Raw genomic sequence first — 15,926 nt, 5'->3', positions numbered from 1 at the left:
AGCAGGTGGTTCAGAGGAAAAATGCTGCAAAAAGTTACTTGGCATATTTAATTCCCTCAATCCTTCTATGTGTGTGGTTACTATGACTATCATTATGACATTATCTATTATACAATTCATTTGAAATATAACCTAAGCTGTTATTAAGTTCAAAATCTCATTTACAATTGAAGTGGAATATTTAACATTTATTTAACAGGTTATTTACAATCTCTCTCAAGATTATCATGGAGAAATAAAATGATAATATAGCTATTAGTATTCAAACTTAAAGTTTTATCATTAAATATTACCTGATGATGATAAAAACTAATACTTTAAAGTGCTACACATTTGCATCACATTTATAATACATATTTTCATAGTCCTCACTTCCATTTAATTTGTAAGGAAACAAAAGTTCATGGAGATGTTGCATGGCCAAGGTAACACACCTACTAAGTGGCCAACAAGATTGAAATCCCTGCCTGTTTATTCCATAGAAGCTCCAACATCCTTACAGCGATAATGTAGACACATTACTGCTGCAATAATTTTAAATTTTAAATTTAAATTTAAACACACAGTCAAATTTTGAAATACATTTATTTTGGGATTACACTGTTTCCATTTCTGTTTTCTATAAAAACTTTTCTGTCTCTTTATTCCATGATTCATATTCCTTTAATCTAACAAAGATGCATGCATTCCTATCCAAAACTTTCTAAAGTAACATAAAAATAATACTGGAACTGATAGCCACCTTTAACTGGCTGCAAAATTGATAGAGTTGAGGAATAGCTGTGACACATTTGTGCTTTCCTTCCTTGCTCACACTGATTTTTCAATGCCAAACATAAAAGCTTTTGGCCGTTAATAGTATTATAAAAATATTTTGTTCAAATGGCTTTCCATGAACTTTCTTCTCTCTATTTCTTCATATACATATGCTACATAAATAGTAACACACTAATTAAGATTGCATTTGCATAGTTAGGTCACTAAATCTAACTAACCTTATTTTAGTTAGTTACTAAAAGAGTAAAAAACAGAAGCCCAAAATAAGCTAACCAGATACTCAAATACAAAAACATATATTTGGAGTTGACTTCTGGGAAAACAATGTAATTAAATCAGAAACCAAAAAAAAAGTTTGACCAAATGAAAATAGAGACACAACCTACCAAAATATTTGGAATACAGCAAAAGCTGTGATAAGAGGAAAGATTATAGCATGAAATCCTGAATGAAAAAGTTGGAAAGATCTCAAATTAAAAACCCCATGTCATACATGAAGAATCTAGATAAACAAGGACAAACAAGACACAAAGCTAGCAGAAGAAAAGAAACAATGAAGATCAAAGTAGAGCTAAATGAAATTGAGACCAAAAAATGTACAAAGAATCAATGAAAAGAAAAATGGACCCTTTGAAAGGCTAAACAAAATTGATGATGCACTAAATTAACCAATAAAAAAGGACAGAAGATTCAAATAAGCACAATCAGAAATGGCAAAGGAAACATTGCCACTCATACCACAAAATTAAAAAAAGATATCAGAGACTGCTGTGAACATATCTATGAGCACAAATTAGAAAGCCTAGAGGAAATGGATAATTTTCTGGAAACATACAATCCCTGAAGATCGAATCAGGAAGAAATTGAAATCCTCAACAAACCAATTGTGAGTAAATAAAATTTAATCAGTAATTTAAAATATACCAACAAATAAAAGCCAAACACCAGAAAGATTCACAGCCAAATTTTATGAGATACACAGTGGATAGACTTTACCAGTCTTACTGATACTATTCCAAAATGTTGAGCAGGAGAAACCCTCCCTAATTCTTTTTTTTTGAACTTTATTTTCGGAAACTAAGTCTTGCTTTGTCACCTGATCTGGAGTGCAGTGATGCAATCATAGCTCACTGTAACCTTGAAGTCCTGGCCTCAAGCCATTTTTCCCTCTCAACTCCTGAGTAGCTAGGACTACAGGTATGCACTAGCATGCCCAGCTCCCTAGAGGGTTTTTTTTTAATTTCAATAGTTTTTGGGGTACAAGTGGTTTAGGTTACATGAATAAGTTCTTTAGTGACTCCCTAACTAATTCTTTAAAACCAGTAAAATACTGATACCAAAATCTAGTAAGGGCACAACAAAAAACACAAAACTACAGGCCAATACTTCTTATGAACATAGATATAAAAGTTCTTAAGGAAATGCTAGCCAACTATACAAAAGTTCTTAAGGAAATACTAGCCAACTAACTTCAATAGCACATCAAAAAGATAATCCATCACAAAAACATGGATTTTATCCACTTGATCCATTTTCAAATGGGATGCAAGGATGGTTCAACATATGTAAATCAATAAATGTAATTCACCACATGAACAGAATTAAAAACTCTATGATGATCTCTTTAGATAGTAAAAAGCATTTGATAAAATCCAGCATCCCTTTGTGTCCAGAATTGGTTCCTTCTGGTGGGTTCTTGGTCTCGCTGACTTCAAGAATGAAGCCACAGACCCTCGCAGTCAGTGTCACAGCTCTTAAAGATGATGTGTCTGGAGTTTGTTCCTTCAGATGTTTGGATGTGTCTGGAGTTTCTTTCTTCTGGTGGGTTTGTGGTCTTGCTGACTTCAGGAGTGAAGCCCCAGACCTTCGCAGTGAGTGTTATAGCTCTTCAAGGTAGCGCATCTGGAGTTGTTTGTTCCTCCCAGCGAGTTCGTGGTCTCGCTGATTTCAGGATTGAAACCGCAGACCTTTGCAGTGAGTGTTGCAGCTCTTCAAGGTGGTGCGGACCCAAAGAATGAGCAGCAGCAAGATTTATTGTGAAGAGTGAAAGAACAAAGCTTCCACAGAGTGGAAGGGGACTTGGGTGGGTTGCCCTTGCTGGTTCTGGTGGCCAGCTTTTATTCCTTTATTTGTCCCTGCCCATGTCCTGCTGATCGGTCCCTTTTTACAGAGTGCTAATTGATGCGTTTACAAACCTTTAGCTAAACACAGAGCAATGATTGGTGCGTTTTTACAGAGTGCTGATTGGTGCAGTTACAAACCTTTAGCTAGACACAGAGCACTGATGGTTGCATTTTTACAGAGTGCTGATTGGTGCATTTACAAACCTTTAGCTAGACAGAAAAGTTCTCCAAGTCACTGGACCCAGGAAGTCCAGCTGTCTTCACCTCTCACCTTCATAATAAAAACCTTCAAACCCTAGACATAGAAGGAACACTTATTAAAATAATAAGAGCTGTCTATGACAAACCCACAACCAACATTATATGGAATGGGAAAAGTTGAAAGCATCTCACTAAGAACTGGAACAAGACAAGGATACCCACTCTCACCACTCCAATTCAACAAAGTACTGGAAGTTCCAACCAGAGCAATCAGGCAAAAGAAAAGAAAGAAAAAGCATCCAAATTGGAAAAGAGGATGTTAAATGATCTTTTGTTTTGCTGGTAATATGATATTAGAAAACACTAAAGATTTCTCCAGAAAGTGCTAGATTTGATAAACAACTTCAGTAAAGTTTTACAATAGCAAATTAACATATAGTAATAACTTGCATTTCTAAACACCAACAGCACTCAAGCTGAGAACCAAATCAATATAACTCAATACCATTTGCAAGGGTCAAAAAAAAAAAAACCTAAGAATACCTGTAACCAAGGAGGTAAAAAATCTGTACAAAGAGAATTACAAACACTGATGAAAGAAATTGGAGATTACACAAACAAAAGAAAAACAATACATTATCATGAATTAAAAGAATCAGTATCATTAAAACAATCACACTGCCAAAGCAACCTACAGATTCAATGCAATTCCTACCAATTATCAAGGTCACTTCTCAAAGAATTAGAAGAAACAATTCTAGAATTTATATGGAACCAAAAAGGAGCCCAAATAGCCAAAGTAATCCTAACATAAAAGAACAAAGCCAGAGACATCACATATCCAACTCCCAACTATTCTACAAGGCATTAGTAACAAACTCAGCATGGTACTGGTACAAAAACAGTCATATAGATCAATGGAGCAGAATAAAGAATCTGTAAATAAAGCCGTGTAACTGCAATCAACTAATCTTAGACAAAGTGGTCAAGAATAAACAATGAGCAAAGGACACCCTATTCAAAAAATTGTGCTGGATAAATTGGCTAGCCATATGCAGAAGAACAAAACTGGCCACTATCTTTACCATATACAAAAATTAACTGAAGATGGATTAATGATTTAAATATAAAGACTGAAACTATAAAAATCATTGAGGAAAACTTAGGAAAATATTTTCTGGATATTGGCATAGGCAAAGAATTTACGATTAAGACCTCAAGAGCAAATGCAACAAAAACAAAAATTGACAAGTGGGACCAAATGAAACTAAAGAACTTCCGCAGAGTAAAATAAATTATCAAGAGAGTAAACAGACAATCCCTCCAGAATGGAAGAAAATATTCACAAACTATACATCCAATAAAGCTCTAATATCCAGAATTCATAAGGAAATTAAGGCAACAAAATAGTAGGTACTAGGCTTAATACCTGAGTGATGAAATGATCTATAAAACAAACACCCATATGACACAAGTTTACTTATGAAACAAACCTGTACTTGTACCCCTGAACTTAAAATAAAAGTTAAAAAAAAAACTCCATAAATGACCCCATTAAGAAGTGGGCAAAAGACATGAACAGACGCCTCTCAAAAGAGGACATTTACATGGCCAATAAATATATGAAAAATTTCTCAACATCACTAATCATCGGAGAAATGAAGACTAAAACCACAGTGAGATTTCATCTCATACCAAGCATAATGGCTATTATTAAAAAGCCAGGAAACAACAGATGTTAGCGAGGAAGCAGAGAAAAAGAGAAAACAAAATGACAGATGTTGGCAAAGATACACTGTTGGTGGGAATGTAAATTAGTATATCCTCTATGGAAAACAGTGTGGGGATTTCCTAAAGAGCTATAATTAGAACTACAAATCCTCTCTGCAATCCCACTATGGGTATCTGCTCAAAGAAAAAAAATGGTGTTTTAAAAAGACTCCTGCACTTGTACATTTATCAGAGCCCTATTCACAATAGCAAAGTCATAGAATCAACCTAAGTGTCCATCAGTGGTTGATTGCACAAAGAAAATGTGTTATATACATGCCATGGAATACTATTGAGCCATGAAAAAAAGAATGAAATTATGTTATTTGAAGCAACATGGATGGAACTGGAGGCCATTTTCATAAGTAAAATAACTCAGAGCGTCAAACACTGCATAGTCTTACTAAGTGGAAGCTAAAGAGTGGGTACACGTGGACATAAAGACAAAAATAATTGACTACAAATGGGAGGATACAGGGAGGGCAGTGAGGGTTGAAAAATTATCTGTTGGGTAAAATGTTAACTATTTGTGTGATGGGTTCAATAGAAGCCCAAATCTCACCGTTATGCAATACATCCATGTAACAAACCTGCACGTGTAACCCCCCAATCCAAAATAATAATAATAAAAAAGAAACTAACTTCCATGCTAAAGAATTTCTTCTCACAATAATGACACTAATCTGTTCAGGAAGGCACATCTGTCATTACCTAAACAGCTCTTAGTGATACCACATTTCAACACATTCACTTTGGGGGTCATGCTTTGAAAACAGGATCTTTGGAGGACACATTCAAACCATAGCAGGGACCTTGAGAGTTCAAGACGAGATCTGATGAAAGTTAAGTGATTAACTTCTAGTTCTAGGTGTCAGCGTCTTCATATATTTTACAGGAATTGACAGTATAGTTTGATCTTTCTAAAATGGTAATTCATTTTGCAATTTTCATATCTCTGGGGTAATGTGTAGTTGATTCCACAGAAGCGTGGGGAACCTTTATAGAAGTAGTTTTGATAAAAATTATTGTCTTCGAATATTTTTATTACACTTACTTGTCGCTTTTAATTAGTTTTATAGCTAACAAGAACTGTTTTAGATATGCAACAGGTCACAATTTGAATCTCATTCAGAAAATTTTTAGGCATTTTTCTCATGCAGCTATATTAAACCACAAAAACTCAGCAGATACATCTTCACCATAAATTAAAGACAAATCAACAGTTATCTGCCTCTAATTATTACACAGGTGATTATGCTGATTATGCTAAAGTTTTATTGTTTTGGTGATTTTTTTTTTTTTTGCAGGTGGGGTATTATGCATGTGTAAAATTTCTTTTCCTACTTTATTGTCAGATGTCCAACCTAAGGAATCTACTAGGTAAATGCAGCCCATTTCTAAATTGCTCAATGTGCTGCAATGCACCTCCCATTATAAGTCCAAAAGCATTATGTTAAAACATTTATATTGTTGTGAAATTATTGAAAACACTTGTATATCTTTATTCCACAATTATTTATTGAGCATTTATAAGCACTACACTGGATTGTAGAGATATAATGTGGAAAAAATCCAGCCAGAAATAGTTCTTGCCTTCATAAAATTTACAGACTAGTGGAGAGTAACACATTAAGTAAATACTTACAAAATAAAGTATAATTACATATTTATATAACTTCAATGATAGAAAACTTCAAGAATTAAGTTAAATTGGGAAATAATGGGAGACAAAGACAGGAAGACTTCTTTCTCTAAGTGACAAAGGAACTATGTGTTTAGTAGGAGAAGAGTGATGGGTAAAATATTTCAGTTAAAGAGACTAGCGCATGCAAAGATCTAGAAGTTTAAAGTTCTTAACATTTTGAAGAAAATGGAAAAAGTTTAGCCTAGGCTGATATCTACTGAGAGATGTGGAAGGCACTGCAAAATGAGGATGGTGAACAGGCAGGTTATTGTAAAATACATGAAGAAATTTTGATTGTATCTTAAGCTAACATTAATGATTTTTAGATAGGAAATGTATGATCTTATTTCCTGGCTTTGGGCAGAATGGAGACGAGCTATTTATGTCATTAGGAGATAGATATTCTAGGCAGGAAACAATAGCTACCTATAATGGAGTAATAATGTGAGAATTAAGATGTATATGTGGATTTGAGATTCATTGAGGATGAATCCTAGATTTTATGGTATGGACAGGCAAATCTTGGTGAAATTTATTAAGAAGAAAGACTTTAGCACATCTCTTGTAATCTCATACAGAACAAATAGATATCAGATAAAACTCTGAACTTTGATAATAAAAGATTTATCTTGCTTTCGAAGTCCTTTGGCTATGCATAAAAATGGACTGCACTGTAGGCCACGTACTAAACCCCATTGAATTCCCTAGAAGAAAAATTTTAAAAAAAATTGTTCTCAACATGTAAAGCGTACAACTAAAAATAATAATAGAAGTGAAAAGATCTCATGCACTTTTTTTAAAAAGGACATATTGTTGAAAATGTATAAAAATTAAATTTCAAAATTTATGTAAAAAGTTATAATGAAAATAAAATATATCATAATCATGGGGTAAAGCTAAAGCACTATCAAAGAAAAACATAGCGTTAAAGTAATTGGGTCAATAAAATAAAATGAGGTATTAATAAGTGCTCAATTCACAGCCTTCAATTAAAAACAACAAAGTAAACTAAAAAACCACAAAACAAATGGTATAAAAAATTAAAATCAGAAGTATAACATCAAATAATTGTTAAATGTTAAATATCAACAAAGATAATTCAGGAACAATTGAAAAATTATACATCATGACCAAGTGAAGTTAATTGTAGAATACAAGGGTACTGTGAGGTGAATATATTATAATTAATAAACTCCTCCATTGTAATAGAACAAAAAATAATTGATTATAGAACTACAAAAGATACTTGGCAAAATTCAGCATCCACTCAAGTAAAAGACAGTTAAAATAGAAGCTAATAATTTTTTAACAAGAAAACTATATTTTAACACATAATATGCCTCTGCTGAAAAGGCAATATCTTATTTAAAGAAGAAACATTAAATAATTTTCACCAAATACAGGAAGAAGGAAAGGAAACCCATTATTTCCATGGCCTTTTAACATTGTTTTAGAAGAAATTGCCAGACATCTAAAACAAATAATAACGTAAAAACCTAGAAGAAAAACAAAAAGTAAAAACGACTTTAGTTACAGGTGATACAATTAGATATTTGGAAACTCCAAAATAATCTAAGGAAAAGCTAATCCTTTTCACAATAAGAAAATGTAGCAAAGTAGAAGGTAATAAAATTAGCATACAAATCAATAGCCATTGTATATTCAAATGAAAATAATAATGGGATATATTATTTTCCATTATTATTAATTATTAATATTAATCTTCCATTAAAAATGAATATAATGGAAGAGAAAGTTTCATTTATGATAGAAAGGAAATAAAACACATATGGATAGCAAGAAATGTTCAAAACATACATGAGACTAAAATATAAAAGACTCTGAAGGACTCAGAAAAAAGTTTATCAAATGGAAAAATATATTACACTTATGAATAGGGGAAGGAAATGTCATAACGATGCCATTATTTTCTAGGTGGTATTACAGTTAATTCTAATAAAAAAACAACCTACATTATATGATACTAAGATGAACATCTATGTTATATAGTAGCCTGCAAATTATTTTACTTTTAACGATTAAACTTGAGAATTCAAAGAAAATCTGTTAGAGATGTGTTACTCCTGGCTCTGCCCAGGGACTAATAGGAGGGTACATCTCCACTCATCTCTGCTATTAGCAATACTTCAAGAGGGAAAATATGGAAAGCACTGCCTTCAGTACTTATTTTATTTCCTTCATCTTTCTGCTCCCTCATTTCCATTTCAAAGTAGACCCTTTCAGTTTTTCTTTCCCTGACCTGTGGGAAAAGGGATTTGTTTCCTCAGTGGATGAATTGCAGAGAAGCCTGAGACTATTAATTGAGTTAGTTAAGAGCAGACATGAGCAGAATGTTGTAACTAATACAGGAGATACTCAGGCAGCAAATAATCAGAAAAATGAAGACCCTGAAAGATTAAACCGAGGGAAATTTCTATTTACAGAGGGTTTACTTCTGGGCAGAGAGACAATAATCCCTTAGGGACTAATTTAGCCTTACATATCATCTGTGCATTTAAAGCTTACAGTGGCTTTATGTTTTTCCATTGTCCCCTCTAAGTGCATTTTTTCAAGTGTTCTGTGAATCACAGGAGAGGGAAAGTGTAGATACCCCCAAGTCACATCAGAGTTTCTTGATGATGAGAATTTCCAGCCACAGGAGTCATACAACAGCATGAGTGGTTTGGTTCGTGGTGATTTGTTTTAAATATAGCAAAAGAAATATTTTCATGAAATCAATCAACAGCTACAAAAATCAAGTGAAATTTTCTGTATATTTAATAAAGTAAAATTCTGGAGCGTACCAGCTGGAGGGGGATTTACATCTGGGTAGGAATGGATCCCGTCTGATTTCACCACTTCTGTGTATGAAAATTCCTGCCAATGCCTTCTGAATCCAATTTTTCGCTTCCACTGAGAGTAGTTAGGGAATACTGCCTCCCTCCTCATATTGTTGATTAATGGGAAAGAGATTTAGAGCACTACTGAGCATTGGAGAATGGTCAATGCAGCTGGAACTTGTTAAGTGAAATGGAAAGTGAAGGAATACATATGGGTCGTGGTTCAATCATGGCTGGAGAGAAGGAGCTGCCCTGGGCAGGTATACAAAAAATGTAATGTGTACTTAAGCTTTCATTTGATATATTTGTTTAGTGTGATCCTAAGCATAGATACCTATACCAAGGTATTTTAGTAGTATAATATTTATTCAAGAAAAGGGAATATAGGTGATTCACAAGAGCATGACCCTATTTCGTATATTTTAAAAATGAGGAAGTAATTCATTTCTAAAATCCTACGTTTCTCTCTTATATGTGATTCTTAACTTTCTATGAGATAATGTATACATTTATATAGTATAGAGATCCAAAGGCTAAATTTTATTTTGACTCTAAATCATTTAGTTGGACTCTGCGGTCTTTCATTATCATTGTATTAATTTAAATATTTTAAATGTCATTGTTTATACAGTTTTCCTTTAAGAGGTCTTACATTATTGTTGTATTGTTTTTTATCTCTCCAACTATCGTTAAAAGTTGTAGGCTGGGTGCGGTGGCTCACGCCTGTAATCCCAGCAATTTGAGAGGCTGAGACAGGTGGACCATCTGAGATCAGGAGTTTGAGACCAGACTGGCCAACATAGTAAAACTCCCTCTCCACTAAAATTAGCCAAGCGTGGTGGTGGTCTCCTGTAATCCCAGCTAGTCGAGAGGCTGAGGCAGGAGAATTGCTTGAACTCGCGAGGTGGAGGTTATAGTGAGTCGAGATCACTCCATTGCACTCCAGCCTGGGCGACAGAGTGAGACTCCATCCCCCACAAAAAAAATTAAAATAAATAAATAACATTTAAAAAGTGACAGAGAAACACTGTTTAATAAATGTTGAATGAATACATGATTTATGTAAAGATGAGTGACTACATGAAGAACAGACAAAAGAATGGAAGGGCAAGTGCTCTGCAATTGCCAGGTGCATTCTGTTTCCTTTGTTCTCATTACATATTTTATCTAAATATTGTCAGTGAGAATTTTGCAATGATTTTGTTCCTTCTATACTGATATTTTATTTTAAAGCAAAGACATGGTGCCAAGATATAGTAATCTTCCAAGTTGGATTCACCATCCAAAACTAGTTGCTATTGAGCTATTAAATCATAGAAAATAATAGATGCAGTATAACCCACTGTTATTTTCTTTAAATTATTCATTCAATGAATATTTAAGTGCTTACTGTGTCCCAGGTCCTCTCATGGTTATGCAAAGTGAAAAGGCTAACTTACTCTTCTTACTTTATGGAATATCATAGAAAACAATGCAAAACAAGCAGCTTCAAAATAACGGAGCTAGGGTGAGAGTGAGGCATAGAATTGGACCCTTCTAAAAGTAGTCAAATGATTTAAAGTCTCAGGTTAAATATTAAAATTAGGGCAGACAAATTTTAGGGAACGTGTTTCTAAAGATATTTACACTGGAAGAACTCTCTCTTCTCTCATCTCTATCTCAATTTCTATCTCTTATCTCTATTTTCATCTATCTTCAAGTGTTTCTTCTCTACCTGAAATTATCATCACTTCTATTTATATTAACTGAGATGTCATGAACAAAAAGTTACTGCTTCACAAAGGCATCATCTGTGGTGTCAGATAAGTGAATAAGGAACAAGGAGACATTTTTTCATACAAAACTGAGAACAATGAACCAATGGATGATGAGATAGTGTCAATGAAGTATGTCTGCAGAAAAGCCAGTCCTAGGGGTTCTCCTCCAGGACAACTGTTAGTCTCAGAATAAAGAGGTGGCACCAGTTCACTGTCAATAGTGCATGTAGAATATCTTAATATTAAAAACGGAAAAAAAATTTGCATTTTCAGCACTTGTTTACCAACATTGATATTTTAAATTAGCTACTCATTAAACTGAATGAAAATTCACTTATTCTTTAGGTTTGGTTAATTTCATTGTGTATGTTTCTATCCAGTTATCGAGCCAAGTGTAAAAAATTCCTAATTATATTTTAGAACATTCACCAGCTCTATTACTTAATTTTGACAATGAAATAATTTACAAAAGTTGAAAGGAAAGAAATGTTTCCTTAACACATTTCATTTATATTAAGGACTAAATCTAACATAACTTTAAATTTTTTATAATACAGTTATCAAAAATAACCTATTTCAAATAAATTGTATATGTGTTACAAAAGAAATTTTGCACACTCTTGTTCTCTAGATATAGACACAGACACACATATCTCTCACCCTCACATACATGAACAGATGTGGAAGAAAGAGTGGACAAGAGAAGAAAGGGGATTCAGAGAGAAAAAGGAGGAGAGAGAAGTAAAGGTAAAAGATGGAAACATAGAGTAGAGAGAATAATAATGCAAAATAGGAGAACTTGGATACTAGAAGGACTTGAGGATTTTTTTGGTCAAGCACCATCTCTCATTTTACAAGGAAGGAAAATGAGGCTCTGGAAGACTAAGTGGGTTTATCAGAGGACATGCAGTGAAGTACTGGCGGAGCCAGAGAAAGAAAGCTTTCTTATTTTTAGCTGAGTGTCCGGAATTCTTGGAAACCAGAGATGCATTTTTGTTATTCTGGCACTCTACTATGTAATTATTCCCTACTCAATTTATATTTTTTTTATTTTTCATAAGTCATTCAAAGTACTGTGAATTTTTGTCATTATTCAACCGAGTTTGACAATCCAACAGCTGTAGGAGACAGTCTTATTCAAATTGATAAAAACCTATTACCTCATTTTGTCAACATTTAAAAAGACATTATTTTCACCATATATGGGTGATAATTTTTTTAAATGTACAATAAACAAGTTTGTCCTTTTAAAAATGGTTTCTTATTAAGAATATTCAATAAACCTTTAAATAATTCTTACTTTTAAAAACTAAAAATTATTCATCCATATCTCTCTCTATTTACATTTTATTTCAAAGAATGTAATTAGATCTGAATAATTCTATCTTGACTAATAACCCTCACAACAAAATACTTTCAAGTTTTGTTGTTGTTTTTAACATGTTTGGTTGGATTTGCTTTCTTATCTTTATGTAACTTTATCTCCCAGGGATAAATATTAAGGAATAGTAGAGAAAAGTAATGTATTTTGCACCTGGCTACCATAATCTTTCCAATTTAAGGTGACATTTTCTCTTTCAGGTTTGAATTATGAGATGAGCACAGGGACAGTAGGCCAATAAGTGCATTTTTTCTGTTGTTATTGTCCTAAAAATCTCAATGAACTCATAGATATTTTAATCTGAAATTCTTGTAAGATCTGATATTGGAAGTGATCTGTTCGGTTATCAAAAATATTGCGTTAGTATATCCTATATCAGCAACCGTTTAACTCTTTGCTGACAGGTCTACAGCATCTTGAGAGTTTGCTTTAAAAATATATGCCTGGCCAGGTGCAGTGGCTCAGATCCGTAATCCCAGCACTTTGGGAGGTAGAGGTAGGCGGATCACCTGAGGTCAGGAGTTCGAGACCAGCCTGGTCAGCATGGTGAAACCCTGTCTCTACTAAAAAAACAAAAATTATCTGAGCGTCCGTGGTGCGGGACTGTAGTTCCAGCAACTCTGAAGGCTGAAGCACAAGAATCGCTTGAGCCCGGGAGGTGGAGGTTGCAGTGAGTCCAGATCACACCATTGCAACTCCAGCCTGGGTGAACAAGTGAAACTCTCAAAAAAAAAAAAAAAAAAAGATAGAGAGAGAGAGAGAGAGAAATGTATGCATACATGCCTATAAATTGGGAGAAATGCCACAGTTGCTATTAAGTTGTTATTATGTTGAAACCTCATGTTGTTTTAAGGATAGATTTTATAAACTGGTATATAAAACAGATATGAAGGAAGAAATATGCCCATTCTATTTCATAGTGATTAATAAAATCAGGTCTTCTATATGTGAATGGTAAGACACAAAGCAGCTCTGTAGGCAGGCAAGAGAAACAACTTGCACAGTCATTAAATCACATTTTATTTACATTTCTATTGATCATCATGATAGTTTTGTAGCTTCTATATAATTATATTCCACACATTTAAATGCCAGTATAAAAATAAAAAATCAGATAATTTCTGGAGCAATATTAGGAGAGCTAAATTTTACACTGAAGTATGTGTAATGTCAGAAATACTGAAGGCCCTGAATATATATTTCCTTTCAAATTTTCTAAATGCAGTTTATTCTAAATGCAGCAAAACATGTGATTGCCTGGGACAGCAGAGGTGTGAAAGGCTGCTAGCCCAGTACCAAGTATGCCTCTGTGCTCTACAAGAACTGTCTGATATGCTTAAATGATCAACTCAATAATTACTCGTTTTTGTTCTCTAATATTGTTCATGTCTTGTGCAAAATCATTAAAAAATGGTTACAGGACACATTCGGAAAGAACACTTTTCCTTACGCCAGTTTCTTGATGTTTCTTTTCACACTATTTATAATCTTTATAATGTCCTTTGACTTCAACAGATATTGTTTAAAACTGGGAAAAAAATGTTCATATACTGAGGATTATTCTGAGAAGTGTGTTATGTCAGTCTCAATGTAGGTTATTTAGCTAGTGGTGAAATTAGTTTTTCTAGTTTTCCTCATATATCTCAAATGTCCATGTTCTCTAAATAATGGTCAGAGAGAAATCAATTTTGTGTGTTTATTTATCTTTAGGGGATAACATTTTCAGAACACATGTCATTTAAAATTTTCTGTGAAAAATAAATGAAAATTTATACTAGGGATTCTCTGTAAAATAGTCCCATGACAATAAATTATTATACATTCTTAAAAGCATGGTTTTACTATGAATTACACGTACAACAGTAGATGCCAATAGAATAATTTGTGTTTTCTTTGATAAAATTATATATTTTTTACTAAAATATAAATGTTAGAAAGCTATTATAGAAATCATTAAATTATGAATAGGCAAAATATCAGTTGATGGATTATATAGTCCAAATGAGATATGGCATAAGGTATAAAATTCTAAATGCTGCCTCAAATTGTTTTATATTTTCTTTCTCAGTATTGACCTTTCCCCAGGTAATGCAAAATTATCTCCTCTTTTAAAGCACTTTTTAGTTTATAGAAGAGTCTTAGGAGTCAGGTGTATGCTTGGATTCAAATCCCAGATCACTTTCTAATAGCTGTGTGATCTTCTCAAATGTTTGCATTCTCCCCAGGCCTACATTTCCATATGTGGATAAAATGAACATTTTATTGTTTACTTCAAAGAAATAAGACGTGCAAATTAAATAACAAGATGTTTGATACATAGTAGGTGCTTAATCAGTGTTATACAATTATAGTTTCAAATGTACAATTTGTTATACAATTTGTTAGACAATTATAGTTTCAAATGTAAATATAAGTTCATGATTATTTATTCATCCCTTCTTTGAATTTTAATAGCTCTTTGATCCTATTACCCATTCTTAACAGTGATTGTATACATAAAATCCCAAACCATTTAGTCATTTCAGAAAATTACTCAGATGTCTTTGTTTGCAGCATGCTGATCAACAATTACCTAAATTTGATGGTATACTTTTGGTACCAAAAGAACCAGATTCTAAAATGAGGGCAAAGGTTGACAAATAACATTAAGTTGATCCCTAGACCTGTTGGATATTGAATCACTGATAGACTGACCTATAGGTAAATTTTGCATCCAGTTCTAAAATAGTTGTTCAAATTGTTGCACTAATGGTAATTCCTCACCTGTAGTCTGATGGAGAGATAGTGAGAAATAAGGCTGAAGTTAATTAGGAATCAGAACTTGAAGTTTCTTGTAAGTATGTTCTAATGAAGGTGATTAAGTTATGGGTTAAATTAATTCTGCTTTCCTCAGTTGGCCTAATTCTCTGAACAATGTTCTAATCCCACTGTATCTTTCTGTCATAGAGCAATCTACAAAACCTACTGCCAGGCATGGGAACCTGGAAGCTGGAAAAGGGAAGCGAGAGTTCATTTTGTAAGTACTCTGTCATATATACAATTTGAAAAATATTCCCTCCCAGATGTAAGTACTCTGTCATATATACAATTTGAAAAATATTTCCTACCAGTCTGTAGCTTTCCTTTTTACTTTATTTACAGTGATATTTTAGTAGCAGAAATTTTAAGTTTTAATGAAGCCAAGTTTATTATTTTTTTAAATATATTACCTTTTCATGTCCTGTTTAACAAATCCTTTCCTGAAGACATTGTACAATTTTTTCTATGTTTATTTCTGGATACTTTATCATTTTAATCTTACATTTAGATCTCACTGATTTTGAGTTAATTTTTGTTTTTGTTGTACTTGTATTTGATCAAAGATCACTTTTTTTTGCATGTTCATGTCCATTT

The 15,926-nt window shown here is 33.2% G+C and overlaps 1 long non-coding RNA gene across 1 annotated transcript in view; it reads left to right on the top strand.

The window, feature by feature from the left end:
* The window catches only part of LOC107984378 (uncharacterized), a 39,568-nt gene extending 23,934 nt beyond the window's left edge, over positions 1–15,634 (top strand). Inside the window, exon 3 of the long non-coding RNA XR_001748059.1 lies at positions 15,480–15,634. This is a non-coding gene — a long non-coding RNA (uncharacterized LOC107984378). The remainder of the gene's footprint in view (positions 1–15,479) is intronic.
* Positions 15,635–15,926: the final 292 nt, after the last annotated feature.

Source organism: Homo sapiens, chromosome 11 (assembly GCF_000001405.40).
Source record: "Homo sapiens chromosome 11, GRCh38.p14 Primary Assembly".
NCBI lineage: Eukaryota > Metazoa > Chordata > Mammalia > Primates > Hominidae > Homo > Homo sapiens.
The sequence above is the reverse complement of the archived record's forward strand: the minus strand, read 5'-3'. Positions and strand labels throughout refer to the sequence as shown.